This window comes from Homo sapiens, chromosome 8 (genome assembly GCF_000001405.40).
Source record: "Homo sapiens chromosome 8, GRCh38.p14 Primary Assembly".
Classification (NCBI taxonomy): domain Eukaryota; kingdom Metazoa; phylum Chordata; class Mammalia; order Primates; family Hominidae; genus Homo; species Homo sapiens.
The window spans coordinates 54544009-54568320 of NC_000008.11; the positions used below are offsets into that span (position 1 = coordinate 54544009).

Here is a 24312-nt window from a genome sequence, read left to right on the forward strand (position 1 = left end):
GGCTTTTCTAGTTCCTTTGCTTTTCCATATACGTTTTAGAATTAGTTTGTCTATATTTACAAAGAAGCTTGCTGGAATTTTGATTTTGATGTACTGAATCTGTACATCAACTGGATAAAATAGATACCTTAACAATATTGAGTCTTTCAGTCCATAAATATAGCATATCTCTCTGTTTACTTAAATCTTCTTTAATTCTTTCATTAGTGTTTTATACTTTTCTGTATACAGACCCTGTACATATTTTGTTAGATTTAAGTATTTGCATATTTAAGGACATATTTAAGTGTTTCAATTTTGGTGCTATTACACTTGGTTGTACTGTTTTTCGCATTTTAAATTTCAGTTGGTCATTGCTGTATGTAGGAAGACAATTGGCTCTTCTATATTGGCCACGTATCCTGTGACCTTGTTAAACTCACTTTTTAGTTCTGAGAGATGTTTTTGTAGATTCTTGGGATTGTCTTTTTAAACAATCATGTCAATTGAGAATAGGGGCAATTTTATTTCTTCCCTTTCTCTTTGTGTGACTTTTATTTCTTTTTCTTTACTTACTGAAAAGGACAGGAATTCCAGTATGGTATCAAACAAATGTGGTGAGAGAAGATAGCCTGTCCTTGTTCTCATCTTATGGAGAAAGCATTCCATTTTCTACCACTGAGGTTAGTTGCAGGTTTTATAGTTTTATGTATATATGTATATAGTATGTAGTGTCTTTCATAAGATTAAGGACATTCCTTTCTAATTCTAGTTTGCTGAGACTTTTTACTATGAAGTAATGCTAAATTTTGTCAAATGCTGGCTTTAGAATCAATTGAGATGATTGTAAGGGTTTTCTTCCTTAGTTTCTTAATATCATGAATTATATTACTTGATTTTCAAATATTGAAGCAGCCTCACATTCCTGGGATAAATTCTGCTAGATTAGGATGTGTAATCCTTTTTCTATTAATATATTGCTGGGCTCAATCTGTTGAAGAAATTTATATCTAAGGTTTGATATAATAATGGTTTGCAATTTTCTTTTACTGTCTTTTGTTTCAAATTAGATTAGTTCTGGCCTCACAAAATGACTTGGAATGTTTTCCCTTCTTTTATTTGCTGGAGAAGACTGATAGATTTGTTCTTATTTCTTCCCTAAATATTGGTAGATTTCACCAAGGAAATCATCTATGCCTGGAGTTTCCTGTGTGGGAAGGTTTTCAGTTACAATTCAATTTCTTTAATAGACATAGTGTTATTCAAGTTCTCTATTTCTTCTCAGTGAGTTTTGGTGGTTTATGTCCTTTAGAAAATTGGCCTATTTCATCTAAGATGTTGAATTTATGGAGGGTATACAGCTGTTAATTGTATTCTCTTATTATTCCTTTGATGTCAGTGAGGCAAAAAATGAAGTTCTACTCTTTTATTCTTGGTATTGTTATTTATATCTGCTCTCTTTTCTTCTTAGACTCACTAGAGGCTTATCAATTTTATTGAGAATCAGCTTTTGGTTTCATTGGTTTTCTCTATTGTTTTCCTGTTTTCAATTTCATTGATTTCTGTTCTCATCCTTATTATTTCATTTCTCTGCTTGCTTTGGGTTTAACTTACTATTCTTTTTCTAATTCCTTAAGATAAAAACTTAGGGTACTGACTTTAGATCTTTGTTCTTTCCTAACATAAACATTCATTGCTGTAAATTCTCTTTGAGCACTATTTCAGCTGCACTCGCAAATTTTGTTTTTATTTGCATTCAGTTCAAAGTACTTTCCAATTTTGCTTGGGATTTCCTCTTAGACCTAGTATTATTTAAAAGTATGTTGTTTAATTTCCATATATTTTGAGGTTCCCCTAATTTCTTTCTGTTATTGATTTTTAGTTTAATTCTGTTATGGTCTGAGAACATACTTTACATGATTTCTATTCTTTAACATTTATCAGGGTTTCTTTTATGGCTCAGAATATGGTCCATCTCAGTGACTGTTCCATGTGCTGCTGCTGTGAAGAACATGTACTCTGCTGCTGATGTTGTTGTTGGGTTGCATGTTTCCTAAATGTCATTAGGTTGGGTGGGTTGATAGGTTTGTTCAGGTTACCTATACACTTAATAATTTTCTTTCTATTTGTTTTACCAATTACTAAGACAGAAGTCTTGACTTGTCCAAGTATAATTGTGGATTTGTTTATTCTGCTTTTAAATATATCAAGTTTTACCTCTTTTATTTTGAAGCTCTGTTGTTAATTCTACCTTCAAATATATCAACTTTTGTCTATTTTATTTTGAAGGTCTGTTGTTGTTAATATGTTGTAAACATATTTAGGATTGTTTTTCTTCTGGGAAAACTTGCTTGGAAAATTGATAGCTTTATCATTAGTTACTTTCCTGCTTATTTTTGATAATATTTCTTGTGCTGTAGTGTAATTTGCCTGAAATTAGTATAGTTACTCCAGCTTTCTTTTGGTTAGTGTTTGCATGATATATATTTCTCCATATTTTTTACTTCTATCTATGTCTTCATTTTAAAGTTGGTTTCTTGTAGACAACATATGGTTGGGTCTTGATTTTTTTCTTCTGGCCCAGTATGACAAATCCTTTTCTTTAAACTGGCTTATTTAGATTAGTCATGTTTAGAGTGATTGTTAATAAGGTTAGAATAAAATTTACTATTTACCATCTTGCTATCTGTTTTATTTGTTCCATTTATTCTGTATTTTTTCCTTTTTAAATGCTTTCTCTGTGTTTATTGGAAAATCTTTTATTATTCCATTTTACCTTTATTTGATGTTATTTATACCTCTTAATTTTTTTTCTAAGTTGTGGCCCTAGGGCCCACATGTAATTTTTAAGTAATCATTTGCATTTAAAAACAATCTGAGTCTTCTCTCAATAGTACACCATTGACATATTGTGTAAGGAACTTATTATAGCATATCCTTAATTCCTCTCTACCATTCTTTGTGCTATTGCTGTCATCTATTTTACTTTTACATAGCTATGAATAGAGACTATATTGTTACTATTTTCTTTAAACATAAAAAGTAACTACAGTAAGAAAATAATAAATTCGATCTTAATTCTATATTTTCTATGTATATGCTCTTCATTTATTTGTGTAGATTCAAGTTTCTGACCTCTATTATATTCCCACAGTGAAGATCTTCTCAGCCTTTGTTGTAGAGTTGAACTGCTGCAATCCTCCTCTGTCTGCAGCCCCAGGGACTTCCAACTCTGGTTTTATCTCCACACTGGGCCTTCAGCAATTCATCAAAAATTTCTAGCTGAATCTTCTTATTGGCTTATATGGCACCTGATGGCATCTACATCTGTTCCAGGTAAGCAAGAATTTGGGTCCTGTTTCTCCCCACAGACAAATCTTCTCTGAAGATTTCTGGTTATTTGTTTGCTCTTGTGACCTCAGCTCTCCAATGGAAAAGTCATTCATATGGCTATTATTAAAAAGTAAAAAAATAACAGATGCTGGTGAGGTTGTGGAGAAAACGGAATGCTTATATACGGTTGGTAGGAGTGTAAATTAGTTTAACCACTGTGGAAAGCAGTGTACCAATTACTCAAAGACATAAAGACAGAAATACCATTTGACCCAACAATCCCATAACTGGGTATATACCTAAAGTAATATAAATAATTCTATTATAAAGACACATGCACGTGTATGTTCACTGAAGCACCATTCACAATAGCAAAGACATAAAATCAACCTAAATGCCCATTGATGATAGACTGGATAAAGAAAATGTGGTACATATACACCATGGAATACTATGTAGCCATAAAAAGGAATGAGATCATGTCCTTTGCAGGAACATGAATGGAGCTAGAGACCATTATCCTTAGCAAACTAATGCAGGAACAGAAAACCAAATGCCACATGTTCTCACTTACAAGTGGGAGCTAAATGAAGAACACATGGACACAGGGAGAGGAACAGCACACAGTGTGGCCTATCAGAGGGTGGAGGGTGAGAGGAGAGAGAGGATGAGGAAAAATAACTAATGGGTACTAGGATTAGTACCTGGGTGATGAAATAATCTGTACAACAAACCCCCATGACACATATTTACCTATGTAACAAACCTGCACATATACCCCTGAACTTAAAAGTTAAAAATAAAGAATAAATAATAAAATAAAATAAATTATTCATTTGTTATTGTCCAGCATTTTTCTTGTTGTAAGGGTGTGTGTGACACTCTTTCCAGCCCTCTATACCTCCACAATGAATCTGGAAATCCAATGAATCCGGTTTTGGTTTTATTTTGTTTTGTTTTGAGACAGAGTCTTGCTCTGTCACCCAGGATGGAGTGCAGTGGCTTGATCTTGGGTCATTGCAACGTCCGCCCCCTGGGTTCAAATTCTCCTGCCTCAGCCTCCCGAGTAGCTGGGATTACAGACAACTGCCACTGCGCCTGTCTAATTTTTGTATTTTTAGTAGAGACGGGGTTTCATCGTGTTAGCCAGGATAGTCTTGATTTCCTGACCTCGTGATCTGCCTGCCTCAGCCTCCCAAAGTTTTGGGATTACAGGCGTGAGTCACCGCGCCTGGCCAAATCTTTTTTTTAATTTCTGTGTTTCACGTTTTTCTTCCCCAAATATCCTCAAGCTTTAAAATACTGTCTTGTATTTTATTATTGTTTATATTTTTTCTTTTACCTGTAAAATAAGCTTAAACTATCTTTTTAATGGTGGCTTTCAGATTTTTCTATTTCCTCTCATTTCTTTTTTTCTTTTCTTTTTTTTTTTTGATGGAGTCTCCCTGTCTCACATAGGCTGGAATGCAGTGGCGTGATCTGGGCTCTGTGTAACCTCCCCTTCCCAGGTTCAAATGATTCTCCTGCCTCAGCCTCCCAAATAGCTGGGATTACAGCTGCCCGCCATCACACCTGGCTAATTTTTGTATTTTTAGTAGAGATGGGGTTTCACCATGTTGGCCAGGCTGGTCTTAAACTCCTGACCTCAAGTGATCCGCCCGCCTCGGCCTCCCAAAGTGCTGGGATTACAGGCGTGAGCCACCGCTCCCAGCCTCCTCTCACTCTTGAGCACTAATTCTTTTTTATTTATTTATTTATTTATTTATTTATTTATTTATTTATTTATTTTTTTGAGACGGAGTCTCGCTCTGTCACCCAGGCTGGAGTGCAGTGGCAGGATCTCCGCTCACTGTAAGCTCCGCCTCCCGGGTTCACGCCATTCTCCTGCCTCAGTCTCCCGAGTAGCTGGGACTACAGGCGCCCGCCACCAAGCCCGGCTAATTTTTTTTGTATTTTTAGTAGAGACAGGGTTTCACCATGTTCGCCAGGATGGTCTCGATCTCCTGACCTCGTGATCCCCCCGCCTCGGCCTCCCAAAGTGCTGGGATTACAGGCGTGAGCCACCGCGCCTGGCCTCTTGAGCACTAATTCTACCTGTGTTAATTCTTGCCCATCTCTGTGTCACGATGGTTCCTCATGCAGTTTTGATGGTGCTTGCATGTGTAGTTTTGACTATGTAATTTTGAATTCTGATTTATTGTCAGTAAGAGCTATGCCTTCTATGGTGATCTATACATCCTGGGTTGTGCACTAAGGGAAGTTTTTTGTTTGCTTCTGCCAGGGTTTCAGGATTCTACTGCCCTGGCTCAATCTTTCTGTTTAATTCTCAGGTACCTGTAGGCATTATAACTCACATCTCTACATGGTGTATTCTGAGGTTTTGATTTCTTGCAAGTAATTATTTTTCTTTTTAATACAAAGCACCTGTAGACTAGAAGTTTACGTTTCAGTTTGGCTAGCCCTTAACACATTCGGACAGTGACTCGGTTCCAATTCCCTTCTTCCTTCATCTCCTGTCCTCCCCTGGGCATTAAAACCCCAGTTTTCAGGCCAAGTCTGAAATCCCTGTTGATCACATGGCAACAGCTCCTGCACATTGTTGTGAGTCTCATTGCTGGAACCTAGGGATTTCCATTGGTCAAGCACAATGTCAACAAAACGTGACCTACAATTCTACTTGCTTGTTTCTGGGTGGGGGAGTCCCTCCCCATCCCCTGATCCACTCCCTCTGATGCCTGGATCAGCTGGGAGAGGACTGAGCACAAGTTTTATGTGATGCGAATTCTGTTCATGACCAAAATGCAAAGTGTCTCCCTCTGTTTCTTTAAAAGAGAGAGATTCAGGTCAAGGCCAATTCAAACTCCACCCTCCTTAGTAACTTGAATTAAAAATACAGAATTTAGTGATATTTTTCTTATCTTCTTTCCCACTTTATGAGTTGTAAATACAATGGTTATTGTCTACATGACAGCAAGAAGGCAAGGTATTTTGATATATATCCAGGGAGTTTATATTATAGCCTTAGTTTATTTGAATGTGACGTTTAAGTATAGGGGATTAAATTTCTTGGTATTTCGCTAATTACTAACATACTGACTATACTTTTTTTTTTTTAACTTTAATTATTTTCCTCCAGTAAAGAGTAGACCTCCTATTGGAGGAAGCAGCCTGTCTTTCACCCATAAACTGTTGTTTGCCACCCTTAATTCTGTATTACTCTGGCCCTCAAAGCAGTCTCACCCCGAGATGAGCCTGGACATGAGTGTCATAGCCAGCGATGTAACAAGTAGAGAGGCTGTGTATGAAGACACTCCATCTTATCTGCCAATGTTTTTCTGATCTGTACAATTAAGGTGCTCTATTAAATCAGCTCTAAGGTTGTTTCAAGGTTAAGAAAAAATTAAAATCATAAATCAAAATTTCAGAGGCATTGGAGGATTGAGATGCTACAATTTTGGAGTTTATAAATTGATAGTAAAGAGAATTGACAGAAAATGACCTCTGTCCTGAGAGGAAGCAACCCCAGGGAAGTCTTGCCAGACCTCACCTCCACCTGCTCTTCTTTCAGAGACTGCACAAGAAGGGTGTTAAGGACACTTATTTCCAAATCTGTCTCCCTCCCCACAGCACACTGCTGGGCAGGATTCAGGCCTCACTGTTTTCTTGATTCTTAGAACCTGTCACTGATGCATGTGTGTTGACCAAATAAATAACGCTACTGTTTTTCTTACACTTGCCCTTTCTGATCATGAGTTCTAAGTTAGTATCCTGAGTGACTACTGCTTCCCACTTGCCTTATTTTCATCATCTTTCAACTTTCTCCTTTCCCTTCCTCAACACCAACAAGCCCTACATCTGCACGCCTGATTCCTGCACTGCAACTCAGAGTTTTAAGTCATGACTATTTAAACTCACATTGAAAACTTGTGCCTGGTTGTGTGCTAGAAATGTCTCCTTGGCTCTAGCTGTCTTGCATCCCAGAAGGAATAAAAATCTACATAGCTGCAGAAGGCAACATAGCCCCACCTGAAGGAGGTGAGATCCCGGTGTGGGAGAAGCAGGCCTGAGTGACAGGACATCGGTATCGGTCCTTTAAGATGATGAGGAAGCTGCCTTGCCGGCCCAGCATTGCCTCCATTTTAGCTGCCCATTTAAAGTGAAGGAATTCTTAAAGATAATTTCCAGATTATTACTGGAAGAATAGGGAATTTTTATTTCAAATTTAGAATGATGAATGGTGGAGAAAATCTTTTAAAAATTCTCTTTACCCATGTAGCTCATTTAAAAAATGTTTTTTTTCTGGACCATTAATGAAGCAGGTGTAGTGTTTTATTTATTCGCAGTGATGAACAAAGTGAATAAAGCCAGTCTGATTTTACCTGGAAACATTATGGAAAAAAAAAAAGACTCGCCTTCCAGATCAAGGTAGCTCTGCCAATGCTCCCTCAGTGCCTCTGCATGAGTGCGGTCCTCCCAGAGCTCGCCTCTTCCCTCTGCAGTCCCGAGCTGCACTGATGCTCATGCGCCACAAGATGGAGCCTTCAAAGCGGGTCATTTCCTAGTGCTTCCTCTCCATTTCCCCCTGTGAAAAGTCAATGTCTGGGTTTGTGAGGGTTTAGGAAAGAGAGGCAAACACAATAAGGACGAGGTGAGCAGCCACTGAGGGGAGCCACAGGATTGTCCTAAAGGAAGCAGACCTGATCTTGGCTTTCTCTTGATGAACACTGCTATCAGCGTCTCCATGAAGGCACAGAAGACACGCTCAGCAGGTGTGCAGGTGACATAAAGCCAGAAGGGATAGTTGGTGCATTTGGATGATATCGTAAAGATTCTAAAAACTTTCAGCAGGATGAAACTGACCAGGTGAAAGTGAGCGGGAGCACATGCATAGGTGTGTCTTCGATGGAGTAGTAAAAACAGATTTGGATGGTGAAAGAGGAGACCTGAATCTGTCCCAAACCATACTAACAATAATCATGGTGCCTGTGATGGTTATTACAATGTCATCTCACACAGCGCTCCGCAGAGTATGGTTCATGGACAGTGAGCTGGCAAACTGCTTGTTGCTTGGCCTCAACAAGATATGGAGCTCTGGTTAGAGTTTCAATGGACATTATGACAAACTTCATCACATTTTTTAGTACAGCCGAATAAGCAAAACTTTCCCGAAGGAAGCAGGGCATCAATCTACCTTCTGGCTTGAATTCCTCAACTTGCAGAGGATCTGCCCTGAGAATGGTGCTAAAATTTGAAGGCTCCCCTGTGTCCGTACTAAGTACTTAGTACTGATTGTGTTAAGTACTTCAAATGCATCTTTGTATTTGTAGAGACATGATGTACTTTGAGCTGGTGTAGTGGAATGGTTAAGTACATACATCTGGACCAGACTGCCTCGGTTCCTTCATTTGATGGATAACAATACACAGGGTTGTTGTAGTGAAGGTCAGAAGTATAGTGCGTTTGAAGACACCATGTTTCTTGGCACATCGCATGTGCTCAGTAAAAGGAAGTGAGTAATAACGTGTTTCTCCTCAATAACTCTTTGAGGAAAGTGCCGTTGATACCTGATTTTATTGATGAGGAACTGATCTGAGTTTCAATGAAGCAAAATAAATTGCTGCGGTCACGCAGTTCTTAAAGGCGAGATCCAAGACCATAAACCAGGGATTTTCTGACTCTAAATTTCAAACAAATGCTTATCCATTATAGAACACTGCCATTTCCTGATTGAACTGGATCAGTGGCATTTAAGTTTTTTGACCAAAACTCAATTATGGTTATAATCTATACACACACATACTTGTGTATCTAAATCTGAAACATAAGTTTTATTGATAATACTTGTCTTTCATATGTGCAATGTACTCTGATACTTTCTACTGCATCTTATTCAGTTTTTAAAGAAAGCTGGGGGTGACCGTCTTAGTCCGTTCAGGCTGCTATAATAAACATACCATAGACTGGGGTGGCTTAAACAACAAACATTTATTTCTCACAGCTCCAGAGGTTGGGAAATCCAAGATCAAGGCACCAGAAGATACAGTGTCTAGTGAGGGTCTGCTTCCTGGTTGAAATATAGCACTTTCTCACTGAGTCCTCCCATGGTGGAAGAGGCAAGGGAGCTCTCTGGGGTCTCTTTCATATGGGCACTAACACCATTCATGAGGGTTCTACCCTCATGACCCAATCACCTCCCAAAGACCCCATGTCTTAATGCCATCATGTCGGGGGATTACGACCTCAGTATGTGAATTTGGAAGTTGGGGGACACAAGCATTTGGCTCATAACAGTGACCTACTTAAATTGATTTCATGGCCCATGAATGAGCTATATAACCCATGACTTGAAAATATGTACCAGCAATTTCTACGGACTCTTTCATTCTAATGTTCTCTGACTCTCCTAAAAAACAAAAATACAAAAAAAACTTTCAAACCCAATTCCCTTCGTCCAGAACAGAAGACTCTGACTTGGGAGCAGTGCATGTGAAAAAGAAGTAAGTATTTTATCGCAGGTCGATATGTGAAAACCCTGCAATGTGGGGACAAAAAACTCACCTGTAAGGCTCCATCAGGGATCCTGCATTTCCTCCTGGGAATCATATTTTAAGAGAAATTAACAACCTAGACTGTGTTCAGAGAAGGACAGTGAAGGTGGGGAAGTTTCTGAAATTATTTAGGAAACTGAGAATGTTTAATATGACTTTAAGGAAGAAGTGTCTCTAAATAGTTTATATGTATATGTATATGTGTATACATATGTATATATGTGTGCTTGTATGTATATATTATGATAATAGGTCTCTGAGTTAGTAGAATAATTTTTCAGCATTAAATAGGTCTTGGTCCATCTGACATGGTATTTTGTGTAAAACTTATGTTTCTCGTGTTTTTAGATTTTGATGTCTACAGTGAGAATCCTGTAAAATGATTATGACTGCACCTCCCTCCTGTGAGAGGCTGTGAAATGCAGGCAGGAAACAGCCCCTCCCAGGTTAAGCGGAGGAGCTCTGAAGCTTGGCGTTGGCAAGATTTTTGCCCAGCTTCAAAGGGATTTGAAGGGTGGTGACAGGCTCCAGCCCAGACTGCGCCTCGGAATGCAGACGCTTCTCTGCCTAGAACCTGGCCCGGCCCTATGGGAAAGCCCCGGTTCTCGGCGGCACTGAACTGGTAAAAAGCAGTTGCTGTGGGTTCCCTCCCTTTCTCCCCGACTCCCTGGCCATGGGATTCAGGAAAACAGGCAGTGAAAGGCTTCAACAGTTCCTTTCCAGTTTTCCACGGGGGCCCCAAGGAACGCCTGCGGCTGGAATTCCCCGGGAGACAGGGAGCTGTAACAATAGAGGTCTGCACTGTGGTTGCCGAGGGAGGGAGGGCTTCTTGTTGGAGTGGGTCTCCGCAGATTTGTTGGTGGCTTATTAAATTCAGGAAGGAAAGGGGAGAGAGAAGTTGAATGTGACTCAAAGCTTACTTGGTTGGGAAACCTGGGAGCAAAACGGGGCCACCAAAACAAAGTGGAAAAATTGCAGTTGCATAAGTTGTAGGGAGAAAGGATAAATACTTTTGATAGTACTATGTTTGTGGCTTTGAGTTGGGGCTGTGTCTGGGAAGGTTCGAAATGAAGCTGGAGTAGTTAAAATATATTAATCTTGTCCGGGCACGGTGGCTCACGCCTGTAATCCCAGCACTTTGGGAGGCCGAGGCGGGCGGATCACGAGGTCAGGAGATCGAGACCATCCTGGCGAACATGGTGAAACCTCGTCTCTACTAAAAATACAAAAAAGTTAGCCGGGCGTGGTGGCGGTCACCTGTAGTCCCAGCTACTCGGGAGGCTGAGGCAGGAGAATGGCGTGAACCCGGGAGGCTGAGCTTGAAGTGAGCCGAGATCGCGCCACTGGACTCCAGCCTGGGCGACAGAGCGAGACTCCGTCTCAAAAAAAAAAATTATATATATATATATATATTTATATATATTATTTTTATATATATTTATATATATATTTATATATATATTTATATATATTAATATATATATTTATATATATTAATATATATATTTATATATATTTATATATTTATATATATTATATATATATTTATATATATAAATATATATTAATATATAAAAATATATATATATATATATAAATCTTGCTGCTCAACCTTCTGCTACCCAATGTTAAATCCAGACACTTGGGTAACCTTTGATCATATTTGAGACTGAAGTGGCTTTAGAGATACTGAAACTTCACTGTAGTCCCGGCTAGCATATTCATTCATTCGCTAGCTGTTGGCACCTCATACTGAGGTTAACTCTTAGAACAGAATTATCATATTTATTTTTGGTAGTTATTTCAAGTTCTTTCAGTAGGCTTAAACAGGTTAGTGAGTTTTGCTTTTTTAAGCGCCTAACACAGTATCTGGCACATAGCAGGTACACACACACAAATATATACATACATATATATATATATAATTTTTTTTGAGATGGAGTCTCACTCTGTTGCCCAGGCTAGAGGGCAGTGGTGTGATCTTGGCTCACTGCAACCTCCATTTCCTAGGTAGCAATTCTCCTGCCTCAGCCTCCCGAGTAGCTGGTGTTACAGGTGCGTGCCACTATGCCCGGCTAATTTTTGTATATTTTTAGTAGAGATGGGGTTTCACCATGTTGGCCAGGCTAGTCTCAAGCTCCTGACCTGAAGGGTACACAAAAATACTGAGTGAAAGAAAATGCTAGATGCAGGAAAGCCCATCCAACCCACCCAGCTCCTTACTTTGCAGATAAGTTAACCGTAGCCAAGGGAGGTGAAAAGACTTCCAGCTGGAATGGGATCAGACTCAGATTTCCAGATGGTCAGCCATATATTTTCCCACTGCACCATCCTGCCCCCTGCTGCTTGACTTGTCAAGAAACAGTAGGTGTTTCAAAAGGCAGGGGTTCTTCGAGAACTTCTTGTTCTCTATAGTTGACGTTCTAAGATCAGATTTGAAGGAAATTTACTTTTTGTGTGTTCCGCTTCACAAAGAAGATATTTTCTGCATTGAGGAGAAAGCCAAACAGATTGCATTCTGCTCTAAACATTAAAACCAAGAGATCACAATTTGATTGCCTAAAACCAAATATCCTGATTTAAAAAAGGATTCAAACAGACATTTCTTAAAGAAGACATACAGATGGGCAACAGGTACATTGTAAGATGCTCAACATCACTGACCCTCAAAGAAATGCAGATCGAAACCAAAATGAGATGTCATTTCACACATGCTGGGATGGCTGTTTTAAAAAAACAGAAGACAGCAAGTGTTGGTGGAGATGTGGGGAAACTGGAATCCTTGTATATTGTTGGTGGGAATGTGAAATGGTGCAGCAGCTATGGAAAACAGTGCAGAGATTCCTCAAAGAATTAAAAATACAAAACATCTCGTGTATCCTATAAATATATACACCTCTGTACCCACAAAAATTAAAAATTAAAAACAGAACTAGCAAGCCTATTACACAGCATATACCCAAAGGAATTGAAATTAGGGTCTTGAAGAAATATCTGTACTCTCATGTTCATAGCAACATTATTCACAATAGCCAGGAAGTGAAAACAACCTAAGTGTCCATAAATGGACGAATGGATAAAGAAAATGTGATCTGTCTATCTGTCTATCTATCTATCTATCTATCTATCTATCTATCTATCTATCTATCTATAAAATACATGACTACTATTCAGCCTTTAAAAAGAAGGAAATCATGCTCTTGCAATAACATGGATGAACCTGGAGAACATTACATTAAGCGAAATAAACCAGACACAGAGGGAAGAATACTGCATGATTCCACTTATGTGAGGGCTTCTAAAGTAGTCAAACTCATAGAAGCTGAGAGCAGAATGGTGATTGCCAGGTGATGAGAGGAGGGGAAATGGGGAGATGTTGTTCAAAGTGTATCAAGTTTCAATTATGCAACATGAGTATGTTCTAGAGATCTGCTGTGTGACACAGTGGCTATAGTTAACAATATGGAATTTTGTACTCTAAAATTTATTAAGAAGGTAGATCTCATGTTAAGTGTTCTTACCATGAAAACAAACAAAACAGCAAAGACACACAGGAGACTTTGGGAGGTGTTGGGTATGTCTATTACCTTGATTGTGGCAATAGTTTATGGGTGTATGCATATGACATCATCAAATTATAAATATTTACGGTTCCTTATACAGCAGATCCTCTAATAATGTTGTTTCGTTATAATGTTGATGAGGAAAAAATAATGTATTCTCAGCCAGGGCCACTGTCTGTGTGGAATCTGCATGTTCCCCCCGTATCTGTGGGGGTTTTCTCTGGGTCCTCCGGTTTCCTCTCACAACCCAAAGCTGTGCACATTAGGTGAACTTGCATGTCTACATGGTCCCAGTGCATGAGTGTGGGTGTGTGAGTGTGCCCTGCCATAGGATGGTATCCTGTGCAAGCGTGGGTCCTGCCTTGTGCCCTGAGCTGCTGGATATGCTCAGCCACCTGCGACCCTGAACTGGTACAAGCAGGTTGGAAAATGAATGAATGAATGAATGAATGAATGAAGGAAAGTTATGGGTTGGAAAACGAGTGAATGAATAAAAGTTACAGGTTGGAAAATGAATGAATGAATACAAGTTGATTGGAAAAAAAATTCGTAAGATCTGTGATAATCATACAAATGCACGACAATAAACAAAGAAGTGTTTTGGGAGCCTGTTGTATTTGTAATGGTTTTCAAACTGCGAGGTGGGAGGAGGTGCTCCTGACAATTTTCGCTTTGCAAACATTTATTCCTTGATTTAACCCACTGCCATTACGACCACTGTGACTTGCTGATTTATCAAAAATTGGATAAATATGTTACTTGTTTTTATTAATCTTTCTCAAGTGTATATTTCACATTTATTTCAATGGCTAATATTAGGAGTGTTGTAGTGTTTATTTAGAAGTTTGGTGATGTTTTTATGACCAAATATATGCTGTAGGAACTTGACTCTTGTTTATATCCATCAACTTATGGGAAAATTGGTTTTGTTATACGTTGCTTTGCTTGAAGTTGCAGTTTCCAAGAAATTATCAACAATATTAAGTGAGGACTTACTATATATCCATTATGCCTCAATAAAACTGTTTTTTTGTTTTTTTTAATTTGAGACCTTTACCCGGGGTCCTGGTGACCAAAATTAAGGCCATGAGGACATTGAGTGATTTGATACATGTATCACCCTCCCAGGCCCCTGTCTCCCTGGGCGGCCTGCACTGCGCAGTGCCCAGTGACCAGCTGTGCTTGGCCTAAATAAGTGTTTGTGTGGTTGTTGAAATAATGAATAAAAAGTAGAAAGAATACATGCTTACTGATGGTTGTCACTGTACAAAAGATAACTGACTTGTGAATTCTTGGAAGTCATTTTTTGTTTTGTTTCTTTGTTTCAGGTTCATATTCTAAAGAGAGCAGGCACTGAGCAAATGTTTGTTGAACTGAACCAATCTGCTAGTTATGGGGACATGACCTCCACTTCATGGTGTTGAACTAAACAAACACATACTTCTCCAGACAAATATTAAAACTGGTGAACTTCAAAATAACGTGAAAAGCTCCTATGTTTCCATGCCTCATTATATGCCACAAAAAATCAAATGATAACGAGAACAAAGTAGGTTATTTTGTTTGCTATTTAACTTGTGTGCAGGTCTTCACAGAATGAGAGGCATACCAACACTCATGACCCCAGGCTAGTTCTGTTCTTTGCCAGTGTGTGGTTTGGGAGTTCTGTGAAGTGTTTGCAGTCGCTACTAATAATCCAGGTGACACGGCAAACATTGCAGTTCCTAGGTCCAGCACAATTAGAGGAGGGTTCACTCGTAGGCAGCATCTGAGCAACAGGCTCACCAGACTTCAGCCTCTTCACTCCGACTCTTCCACGCTCCAGCTCTCTTCATTAAGATATTCTAGAAGCAACTGAGGAGTTTCTACAAACATTTTGGAAATTACAGGTAAAATATATGTGTTTTCTTTTCTCCTTGCCTGTTTTATAGGGAATGATAACGAACATTTAAGTTTTTATAATTAGGCTTTTTAAAAGGGAGGAGATGTTTAACTTTTATTTAAATGTGAAAGGTTGCTTAATGGTATGGAAAATATGCCAAAGATGGTAAAGCAAGCAGTGGAAGGCCTGAGCTAAATAACTGTGTCTTGGTTGCTGTGGGGATGGTGAGTGAACCATTTTTCCTGTGAGGCATTTTTGCAGATATTTGTAAGGTATTGTAGTTTTGAGAGGGAGTTTGGACAGATATCCTCACGGCCTGTACACGTGGGCCATGTATACGACTTGTGATTTGATCTTTAAGGCCTGGGGAAACCCCTGGAGGGTGATGAACAGAACAACAGCATGATCCGTCTTAGGTTTTCCGGAGGAGAGTGGGTCACGTTCGGGCAGGACTGGCTGGAGGCACAAAGACCAGTTAGGAGGCTATGGAGACAGTATGATAAAGGATGACTATTAGAGACTGAGAAAGGCCACAGCAAAGAATGTAAAAAGAGTATGGACAAGATGAGATGGGGTGGGGACATATTTAGGGACTCAGTCCCCAACTGGGAGAAGGAGAAGTTTAATATGACTCTGTGGTTTCTAACTTGGATGATATTAATTTTTCATATTGTTGAGACTGTAATTTTTCATGTTGAATTAGTAACTGTTAAGCCACAAACATATTTGCAGCCGGCAGAATGTAGCTCGAGAGGAGAAGCTTCAGGGCATCATGGCAGGAGCTTGGGCTGTGGAGGCTGGGGTGGGTCTGCGTTTGAACCCAGCTCCTCCTGGGGGAGTGACTGCAGCCAAGTGCCTCGGAATTCCTCTTGATGTGAGGGTTGGGACCTCCATCCCCCAGGAGTTTTGGGGATGGGGAAGTTGGGTGAGATATTCTAAGTGAACGCACTCTGAATGTCAGCTATCACTTTTTTCTCAGCAGGTCAAGTGGAAGTTTGTTTTCATTTCAGTTAAGGTACGAGTTGTTCTGACTGCTGTGCAGACATTCACACGCCCGCTGCTAGAAAGCTGGAGCTGGAAGGAGCATTGGGGCCCGCTGAGTCCTCCTTTCTCATGTATGGATGCGGATGTGGAGGCAGGCCCTAAGTCTTAGTGTAGGTGCCGATGGTGCAGGTGAGAAGCCCCCTGGTAACTCACTTAGTGCTCTATCTGCTCTTCCACACTCTCCAACATGACGTCACCGGTTTATAAGTGAGAAGCAGGTCACAGGTCCCTAAGGTTTCTGCGAGGGAGGCAAGCGTTGCGCAGTGGTTCAGAACACCTGCTGCACGGGTTCATCCCGTGCACCTTCTCTCACCTAAGTTTCTGTTTCTATATCTGTAGGTTGGGAATAATGCTGTGGCTGTGTAAGGCCACAACACACAGTGCTTAGCACATTGTGAGCACTCAACGTAGAAACAGATCTTATTTGCTCTAGGTCTGACAGGCCTAGAGCTTGTCATCCAAGCAGGAGACCCACATGGCCTGCAGCACATTTAGGGCCATCTCTATGTCAATAGCATCCAATGGCTTTAGGTGGGGCCTGGACTGGAGCCTCCATGTTGGGGGTGCAGGCAGGGGGCATGTTCTCTCACTCCCCTCGGCATTGGAGACAGGTGCCACTTTGCAGGCTCAGGGGGTGTGACACAGGATCTGGATGCTAGGGAGACCACAGCCGATGGGGAAAGACCACACAGTGTAAATGGGTGGAAGTGGGGGATATACTGGGGGGGTGGCCACTGGATGAGCCACCCTGGGAGATTGGTTCCTCAGAAGGGTATCTCTCAGTCTGACCCTATACACTGAAAAAGCAAGTCCATCAAAAGCTTCTACTATTAGAGCTTCTTAACTAAATCCCTAGTAAACCTCTTTACTTCATTTGGTAAATTCAAAATTAATGGCATAATACTTCCACAAAAATATACCATGAAATCATTTTCCTTCTTCTTTTTGGCCAGAGTTTACACGTTTTAAATTTTAAACTCAGATTCCGAGTAAACAAAGTGGTTGTTTAAATTACTTGTCATCGACTCCACAGCAATAGGTGTTTAGTTTCTGTTTATATTTATTTTACTTAGTATCTTAGAACCATTTAATAGCAACATAACAGAGCAAAAACAGCACCCTTAGAAACTTGTATACACAATCAAGACCTGGGCATTACCATGGTTGAAGGATTCCTTCAGTACAAGGAAATACTAGAGAAGTTTGGCAGGCATGACTTAACTGGCCAAGTCATAGAGAAAGTGAACATCACAGATGGTCAGCTTGTAAAAAAGTGAGATGTGGCTTTTCAGATGATTAACTGGCAGAAATGTGCAAACTTTTGCCGTTGGATTCTTTTACACTAGGTTGACTCACTTAAAGAAGAATTTGAATCATTATCTAACAGAAAAAGATCAATAACAAGCATTATTGCTGGAACATTCTATGGATAGACTGCTTTCTATACATGATTGGTGAATATTGTATTTCAATTAATTATATATCCTGATAATATATGAATTAATACTGTGATATCCTGCATACAATAACAATAATCAATGGAAATATAGTAAAACAGAAATGAAAATAATTTTGCTTTTCCTTGAGAAGGTATTTCAAATTTTTGTAGTATTTCAGGGACATTAACATAAATGCCACTTATCACAACAAAGTACCTTAGCTACAGAAGGTATATGAAATTGACTGTCAAATGAATGGATGGTCCTCAAACTTGTCTAGAGAAATATGAGATCCTGACAGTTAAAATTAAGTAATTTAAAGTGAATCAACCTTTAAAAACTCAGCAGCTTTGCTATTACTCAAATGATAAAAACTCCGAATTTAAAATTTCATGTCATAGCTATGCTCACATGTAAAACTAGTGAATATGAATATGGGAGCAACATTTTTCATTAAAAAAGGAAAGACTGATCAATTATTGCTTTTATTAAATTGCATGATTCACATCTGAAGCTATTTAACATTTCAGAGAACGCATGCCTGAGGCTGTAATAACATTTGGTATATAAACCAGTCTGTAGAATAAGTTAAAAGAAATATTTTAAGTAGGCTGGGTGTGGTGGCTCACGCCTGTAATCCCAGCACTTTGGGGAGCTGAGGTGGGTGGATCACCTAAGGTCAGCCTGGCCAACAGGATGAAACCCTGTTGCTACTAAAAATACAAAAATTAGCAGGGTGTGGTGGCAGGCACCTGTAATCCCAGCTACTCAGGAGGCCGAAGCAGAAGAATCGATTGAACCCGGGAGGCAGAGGTTGCAGTGAACCGAGATGGTGCCATGGCACTCTAGCCTGGGTGACAAGAGGGAAACTCCGTCTCAAAAAAAAAAAAATCTTTTAAGTAATATTAGGATAGGTGAAGTATTAGTATAAGTTGATAATTTTCACATTAGATTTCAACATTAATTGATCAAAAATCATTTTTCTAGCAGGTGCTAGACAGATAGATGGCATCTTCTTTCACATAGAAGAGCAAAGCAGTTTTCCAAAGGTCTTTGAAATTCCCCAGGGAGTTCTGTGCAAAGACCACGGAGACAGGTGAATGCCTTCTATTTCTACAGGCTTTAGCCTGAATGGATAATGCAGTTGCTGGTCAACCAGGCAGGCCATATGGAGTCACCCTTTACTGAGGCCCCTGGTAGGCCCAGTCCTACAGCAGTCAAAGATGTCCCAGTAATGACTGTAGACTCTTACTCTTAACTTTACATCCTATCATCTGTTCCTCAAGCCTAAATCAGCTCTTCAGAGAGAGAGAGAGAGGAAAACATAATTTGTTTCCCCCCACACCTCAGAGCAGAAGAGTCAGCCCTCAGGGCTGGCTTCCTGGTCTCAGGCTCCACTCTGGCTGCTGGTGGCTTCCTAAGGAGATCTGAGATTGGGAACAGGCTGAGAGGGAGGAGGGCCTCTTGTTCCCTTGACCACACAGGAAATTCCTCAGGGACACGCTCACTCTGTTATGGGCTCCTCAGAGCCTCTCTCAGAAGGAAAGACTGGCAGTGAGTGGAGGGCAGCGAGTCAGGGACCATCTCATCTTCTCGGCTCAGTTACCTCCCCGGGTACCCATGTCCACATATGTGATGTAGATAAAATATCTCCCTTGCAGAGGTGCTTGATATTTAAGAGTCCAGCACATTTTGAATGGCTTACAAGTGTCAGCTATTATTACTATTTGTGTGTGTGTGTGTGTGGTTTTTTTGTTTGTTTGTTTGTTTGCGATGGGGTCTTGTTCCTCCCAGGCTGGAATGCAGTGGCGAGATCATAGCTCACTACAGCCTTGAATTCCTCGGCTCAAGTGATCCTCCTCCCTCAGCCTCCTGAGTAGCTGGGATTACAGTTGTACCCCACTGTGCCTGACTAATTTATTTTTTATTTTTTGTAGAGATGAGATCTTACTATGTAGCTTAGGGTGGTCTCAAACTGCTGGGCTCAAGTGACTCTCCTGCCTCTGCCTCCCAAAGTGTTGGGATTATAGACATGAGCCACCACGCCCGGCCTACTATTTGTTTTTGACAACCAAAATCTTCACACCTTGGCCCTAAATCTCAATACATTTGTCTAGCAAATGGAAATAGCAACAAAGGACTAATCCGTGTCAGCAGAAATGTTGGCTATTTCATTAGAAATGTGAGTAAACTCATCCCAGGAGCTATTTCAAGTTATGCTGGTGTGAGAGACCGCTGCGGAGTTGTTGCCCAACTCAGATCTCCTCTGGGTGGCACTTGGCAGCCTCCATCTCTGTCCTGGTATTCATGATCCCGGAATTGTCGGGACTGGTCAGCACAGTGGACAGATGCCATTACAGTGGTGGTCTTCAGTCTCTGGAGGGCTTTCTTAATGTAAGCTTTTTTACTAGGAGGCTTTCCCTCTTTGGTCATTGCAGGGTCTGAGGATGCCACTAAAAAGAATGTCACCAATTATGGGTGCCTACCGGGTGCAGGTACTGAGCTCATTTGCTGCAGAGGGGTGGGGTGAGGACTCTGGAGCCAGGGCTTGGGCTGGAAACCTAGATCCAGCACTTCACAGTGCAAGTGTGGGCGAGTGACCAAGCTCTGTAAAATGAAGTTTCCTCTGGATAAAACACAGAATGGAAGTACTGAGCTCAGAGGGTTGTTGTGACAATAAAAGGTGTTCAGTAAGTGTTCGCTGTTGACACTGTCTCATGGCACCTTCATGATGTCTTGGTGATTGTTTCAGTCCCGTTTCACAGATGACAAAAACAGGCTCATAGAAGCGGTGGACTCTGTGACACACACTGAATAAGCAGAGAGGCTGTGCTTTGGGGTTAGAGAAGAATTGCAGCTGTTTCCACTCCGAACCTTAGAATTCTGTTTCTCCCTAGTTACCAATACACTTTGAGCAAGCCAATTTTATTGGACTTAGAGACCCAGCACACCTGATTGATTCCTTGTGGTGGGAGATGTGAATTTCCTAGTCCAGTCTCTTTGAGGATTGAAAGAGCTCAGTGAGAAGCCAGCAGAGTTGGCAAGGTTGTTGATTTCAGTAACCTGTGGGCACACATCTGCAGGAATTACAGGTGCACCCCACTGTGCCCAACTAATTTATTTTTTATTTTTTATTTTTTGTAGAGATGAGATCTTACTATGTAGCCTAGGCTGGTCTCAAACTGCTGGGCTCAAGTGATTCTTCTGCCTCTGCCTCCCAAAGTGTTGGGATTATAGGCGCGAGCCACCATGCCTGGCACAGAAGCTGAGAACCACAGCTTCTCAGAGAGAAGGTGTGAACAGACAGGAGTGTGTCAGTTGCCTGGGATTTACAGGCAGCAGAGACAGAGAGTTTCTGTGGGGCATGTGCTCTTAGGAATGTCCTGGAGAGAAGTATGCTACCTGTGATCTGCTCAGTGTGCAAGGTCCAGGAAGACAGATGGGCCAGCCATGGAGGTGAACAGCAAGTAGCAAAACCTTAGCTGGGGCTGGGTGTGGTGGCTCATGCCTGTAATCCCAGCACTTTGGGAGGCCAAGGTGGGCAGATCAACTGAGGTCAGGAGTTCGAGACCAGCCTGGCCAACAGGGCGAAACTCCGCCTCTACTAAAAATACAAAAATTAGCCTGGTGTGGTGTCATGCGCCTGTAATCCCATGTACTCAGGAGGCGAAGGCAGGAGAATCGCTTGAACCCAGGAGGTGGAGGTTGCAAAAACCAAAAACCTTAGCTGGCCCAAAGCCCTTTATACTGGTCCATTTGCTCTTACAGATCCACCCAGACACCAGGATTGCCTCACCCTGCCATAGAGGGGCATGATGAGAGAAAATCCACAAAGTTCATCAATAGCCCACATGTGGTTAGGGTATGTGAGAAACAAGGCCCTCACTGTTACTCTCTGGGGGTGGAGAGCGGGGATTGGGGGGATCTGGGTTCTGACTGGCCTGGTCTCTCATCAGACTTACTTCCTACATTAGACTTTTAGGGATGCTGGAACAAAGCACCACAGACTGTGCGGCTTGAAAAACAGACAATGACTGTCTCACAGTCTGGAGGCTGGATGGCTGAGATGAAGGTGTCAGCAGGGTTGGCTCCTCCTGAGGCTCTGGGGGAGACACTGTCCAGTCTTCTCCCCAGCTCTGCGGGTGTGCTGGCCATCTTTGACATTCCTTGCTTGGGGGAGCATCACTCCTGTCTCTGCCTTCATCTTCACACTGGTGTTCTCCCTGTGTCTGTGTCCAAATTTCCTCTTTTATAAGGACACAGCCCAGCTGGATTCGGGGCCCAACCCCACTCCAGGATGACTCCGTCTTAGCCAATCACATCTGCAAAGACTCTATTTTTCAAATATGGTCACATTCTGAGGAGCTGAGGGTTGGACTTCAACATATGAATCTGGAGTGGAGCTCAGGGAAGTGGGGCACAGTTCAACCCTTAACATCTTCCTTTTTCTTAAGAATAATCTTCAACTTCTCTCCACCCCAAACTTAATCAGTGTCGTCCTGATAAGAGAGGGAGACGGGAAGACTCAAAAGCCTGCTTCAGAAGGCAGTGAGCTGACCCCAAGCTATTCTAGAGGTTGGTGAAAGTTAAAGTTTAATGATAAGCCTTCTGTGTTGACTCCTTCCAAATCACTCAAAGGGCAGCTCACGTTTTTGGGGCTGTGTCATCTGAGAAGAGTGAAGGACCTCACAGGGTAAAGCCCCGCCCCTCCCATTTCCTTCTCCCCCAGGAAGGAGTGGCTAGAGGAATGGGCCAGGCAGGTCAAAGCCATCAGATTTTAGAATCTCTACCTGGTGGCTCTCTCCTTCCAGCTGCTTCTCTGAGGGTTGTCTTAGTGGGTTAGTTCTTTTTCTCTGGCATTAGCTGTGGTTTTGTAACCTGAGGCTGGCCAAGGAGAGCTATAGATGGTGGCTCCCAGCTGAGCTCAGCGCCACTGCTACCACCAGACCCTGAGCCTCCACCCCAGTCATTTGAAAGTGAAAGAAAGGTAAAAGATATTTAATGCTTACAGATTATTCACAAAGGGCTCAAACCAACAACTAGTAACCCAGAGACAAAACTACTTTAAAGTGTGCTAAGTTAGACATCACTAAAATGTCGGATGGTACCGAGGCCCAAGGTGCGCTGTGTGGAGCCAGCTGAGGCAGGCAGTGAGGTGAGCCACGAACTCTGAACCTCCCTGGTGGCAGGGAGCCCGGTGTGAGGTCTGGAAAATAGAGCCAATCAATTCACTTGCAAGTCCTGGCTGCAGTTCTGGGCTCACCCTGAACCCTGGGTGTTCCCTGATGTTCCTATAGCTGATTTCAATACTCAAGTCACGGTAGTTCAAAGGGCAATTTGACTTTTGCTTGTCCAAAGAAAACTTTTAAAAGAAAAACTCTTCAATATAGGCAACTATTTTGTCTCTTTTCACCCAAATGCCTATTTGACATGTTTGTCAGTCTCTCAGTCGCGGAATGTGCACTGTTACCATCAGCTAAGGGCTTTCATTATATTCTGGTAAATGGGCCAGTTTAACCTGGACATCAGTATCTAGGCATCTTTTTTACAGTCTCAGAGCCTAATACCTTTCAGGAAACTACAAAAGGCTTTATTTTTAAAGCATAATTCAAAGCTTATCAAAGTCACAGGAATTTCACTTATTATTATGAGACTTCCTGAGGAAAAGTAAAGTAAAAATATAGGTAAGCAGGCTTCTAGAACTTTATTTTTTAGCAGGTGGGATGGAGAAGAAAAAAATACTACTACTGGTTTTGAGGTCATTATTTTTTCAGTGTAATGGACTTTAAAAGCAATAAGCAATGGGAAGCTGGACCTCACTTTGTAGGTTCAGGGAAAAAAAAAATCACCCTTCTTTTGTGTGGTAGAAAACCTCTTGTAAATGCATAGATTTGAGACCATGTAACAAAATTCTTGGGTCCTCTGAAGCATTTCTGTAAAATTTATGGAAGAAATGCTTGTGATTGGTGTGATCTGTGATTACTTCATTAGATCAGGCTTTGCCTATACATCCAAATGATTTATTTTCTTGTTTATGTGTGTGTTGTGGTTAGGGGAGGTAGAGGGGGATTTGTCTGTAGCCTAATGCTTGGCACACAGTAGAAGCTTCTCTCAGATAATTTTGGCTTCAAACAAAAGCAGCATGAAAAGCAGACACATATATTTCTTTCTCATTAAAAAATGTGAAATATATAGTCCAGGGCTGGTATGGTGGACCTACAGTGCTAAAACCAGACTCTATTTTTCCATTCTGCTGTGATTGGCTACCATTCCCATGGTCACCTTATGGTCCATGAAGGCTGCTAGAGCTCCAGCTATTCAACCATTCTAGAACAAGAAGGAGGAAAAGGGGAGAAAAAGGGGACCCCTCTTTATTCATGAGTCTTGCTGAAGGTACCACATAACACTACTGTTTCCAGCTCAGTGATTGGAACAGTGACATGGTGACAGGTGGCTGCGACAGAGATTGGGAAATATGCATGGATTAGGGAAAAAAGTCAGAATCTTTTTATTAAAAAGAAGGG

At 41.1% G+C, this 24312-nt stretch overlaps 1 protein-coding gene across 7 annotated transcripts in view; it reads left to right on the forward strand.

The window, feature by feature from the left end:
• RP1 (RP1 axonemal microtubule associated) overlaps window positions 15177-24312 on the forward strand; it is a 312050-nt gene continuing 302914 nt past the window's right edge. For 6 of the 7 annotated variants that reach the window (XM_047422069.1, XM_047422070.1, XM_047422071.1 and 3 more), the window contains exons 1-2: window positions 15177-15312; window positions 16285-16478. In XM_047422069.1, the coding sequence (XP_047278025.1) occupies window positions 16470-16478 (9 nt within the window). In that variant the 5' untranslated portion in view covers window positions 15177-15312; window positions 16285-16469. The remainder of the gene's footprint in view (window positions 15313-16284; window positions 16479-24312) is intronic. The other variant, NM_001375654.1, reaches the window with a different exon arrangement.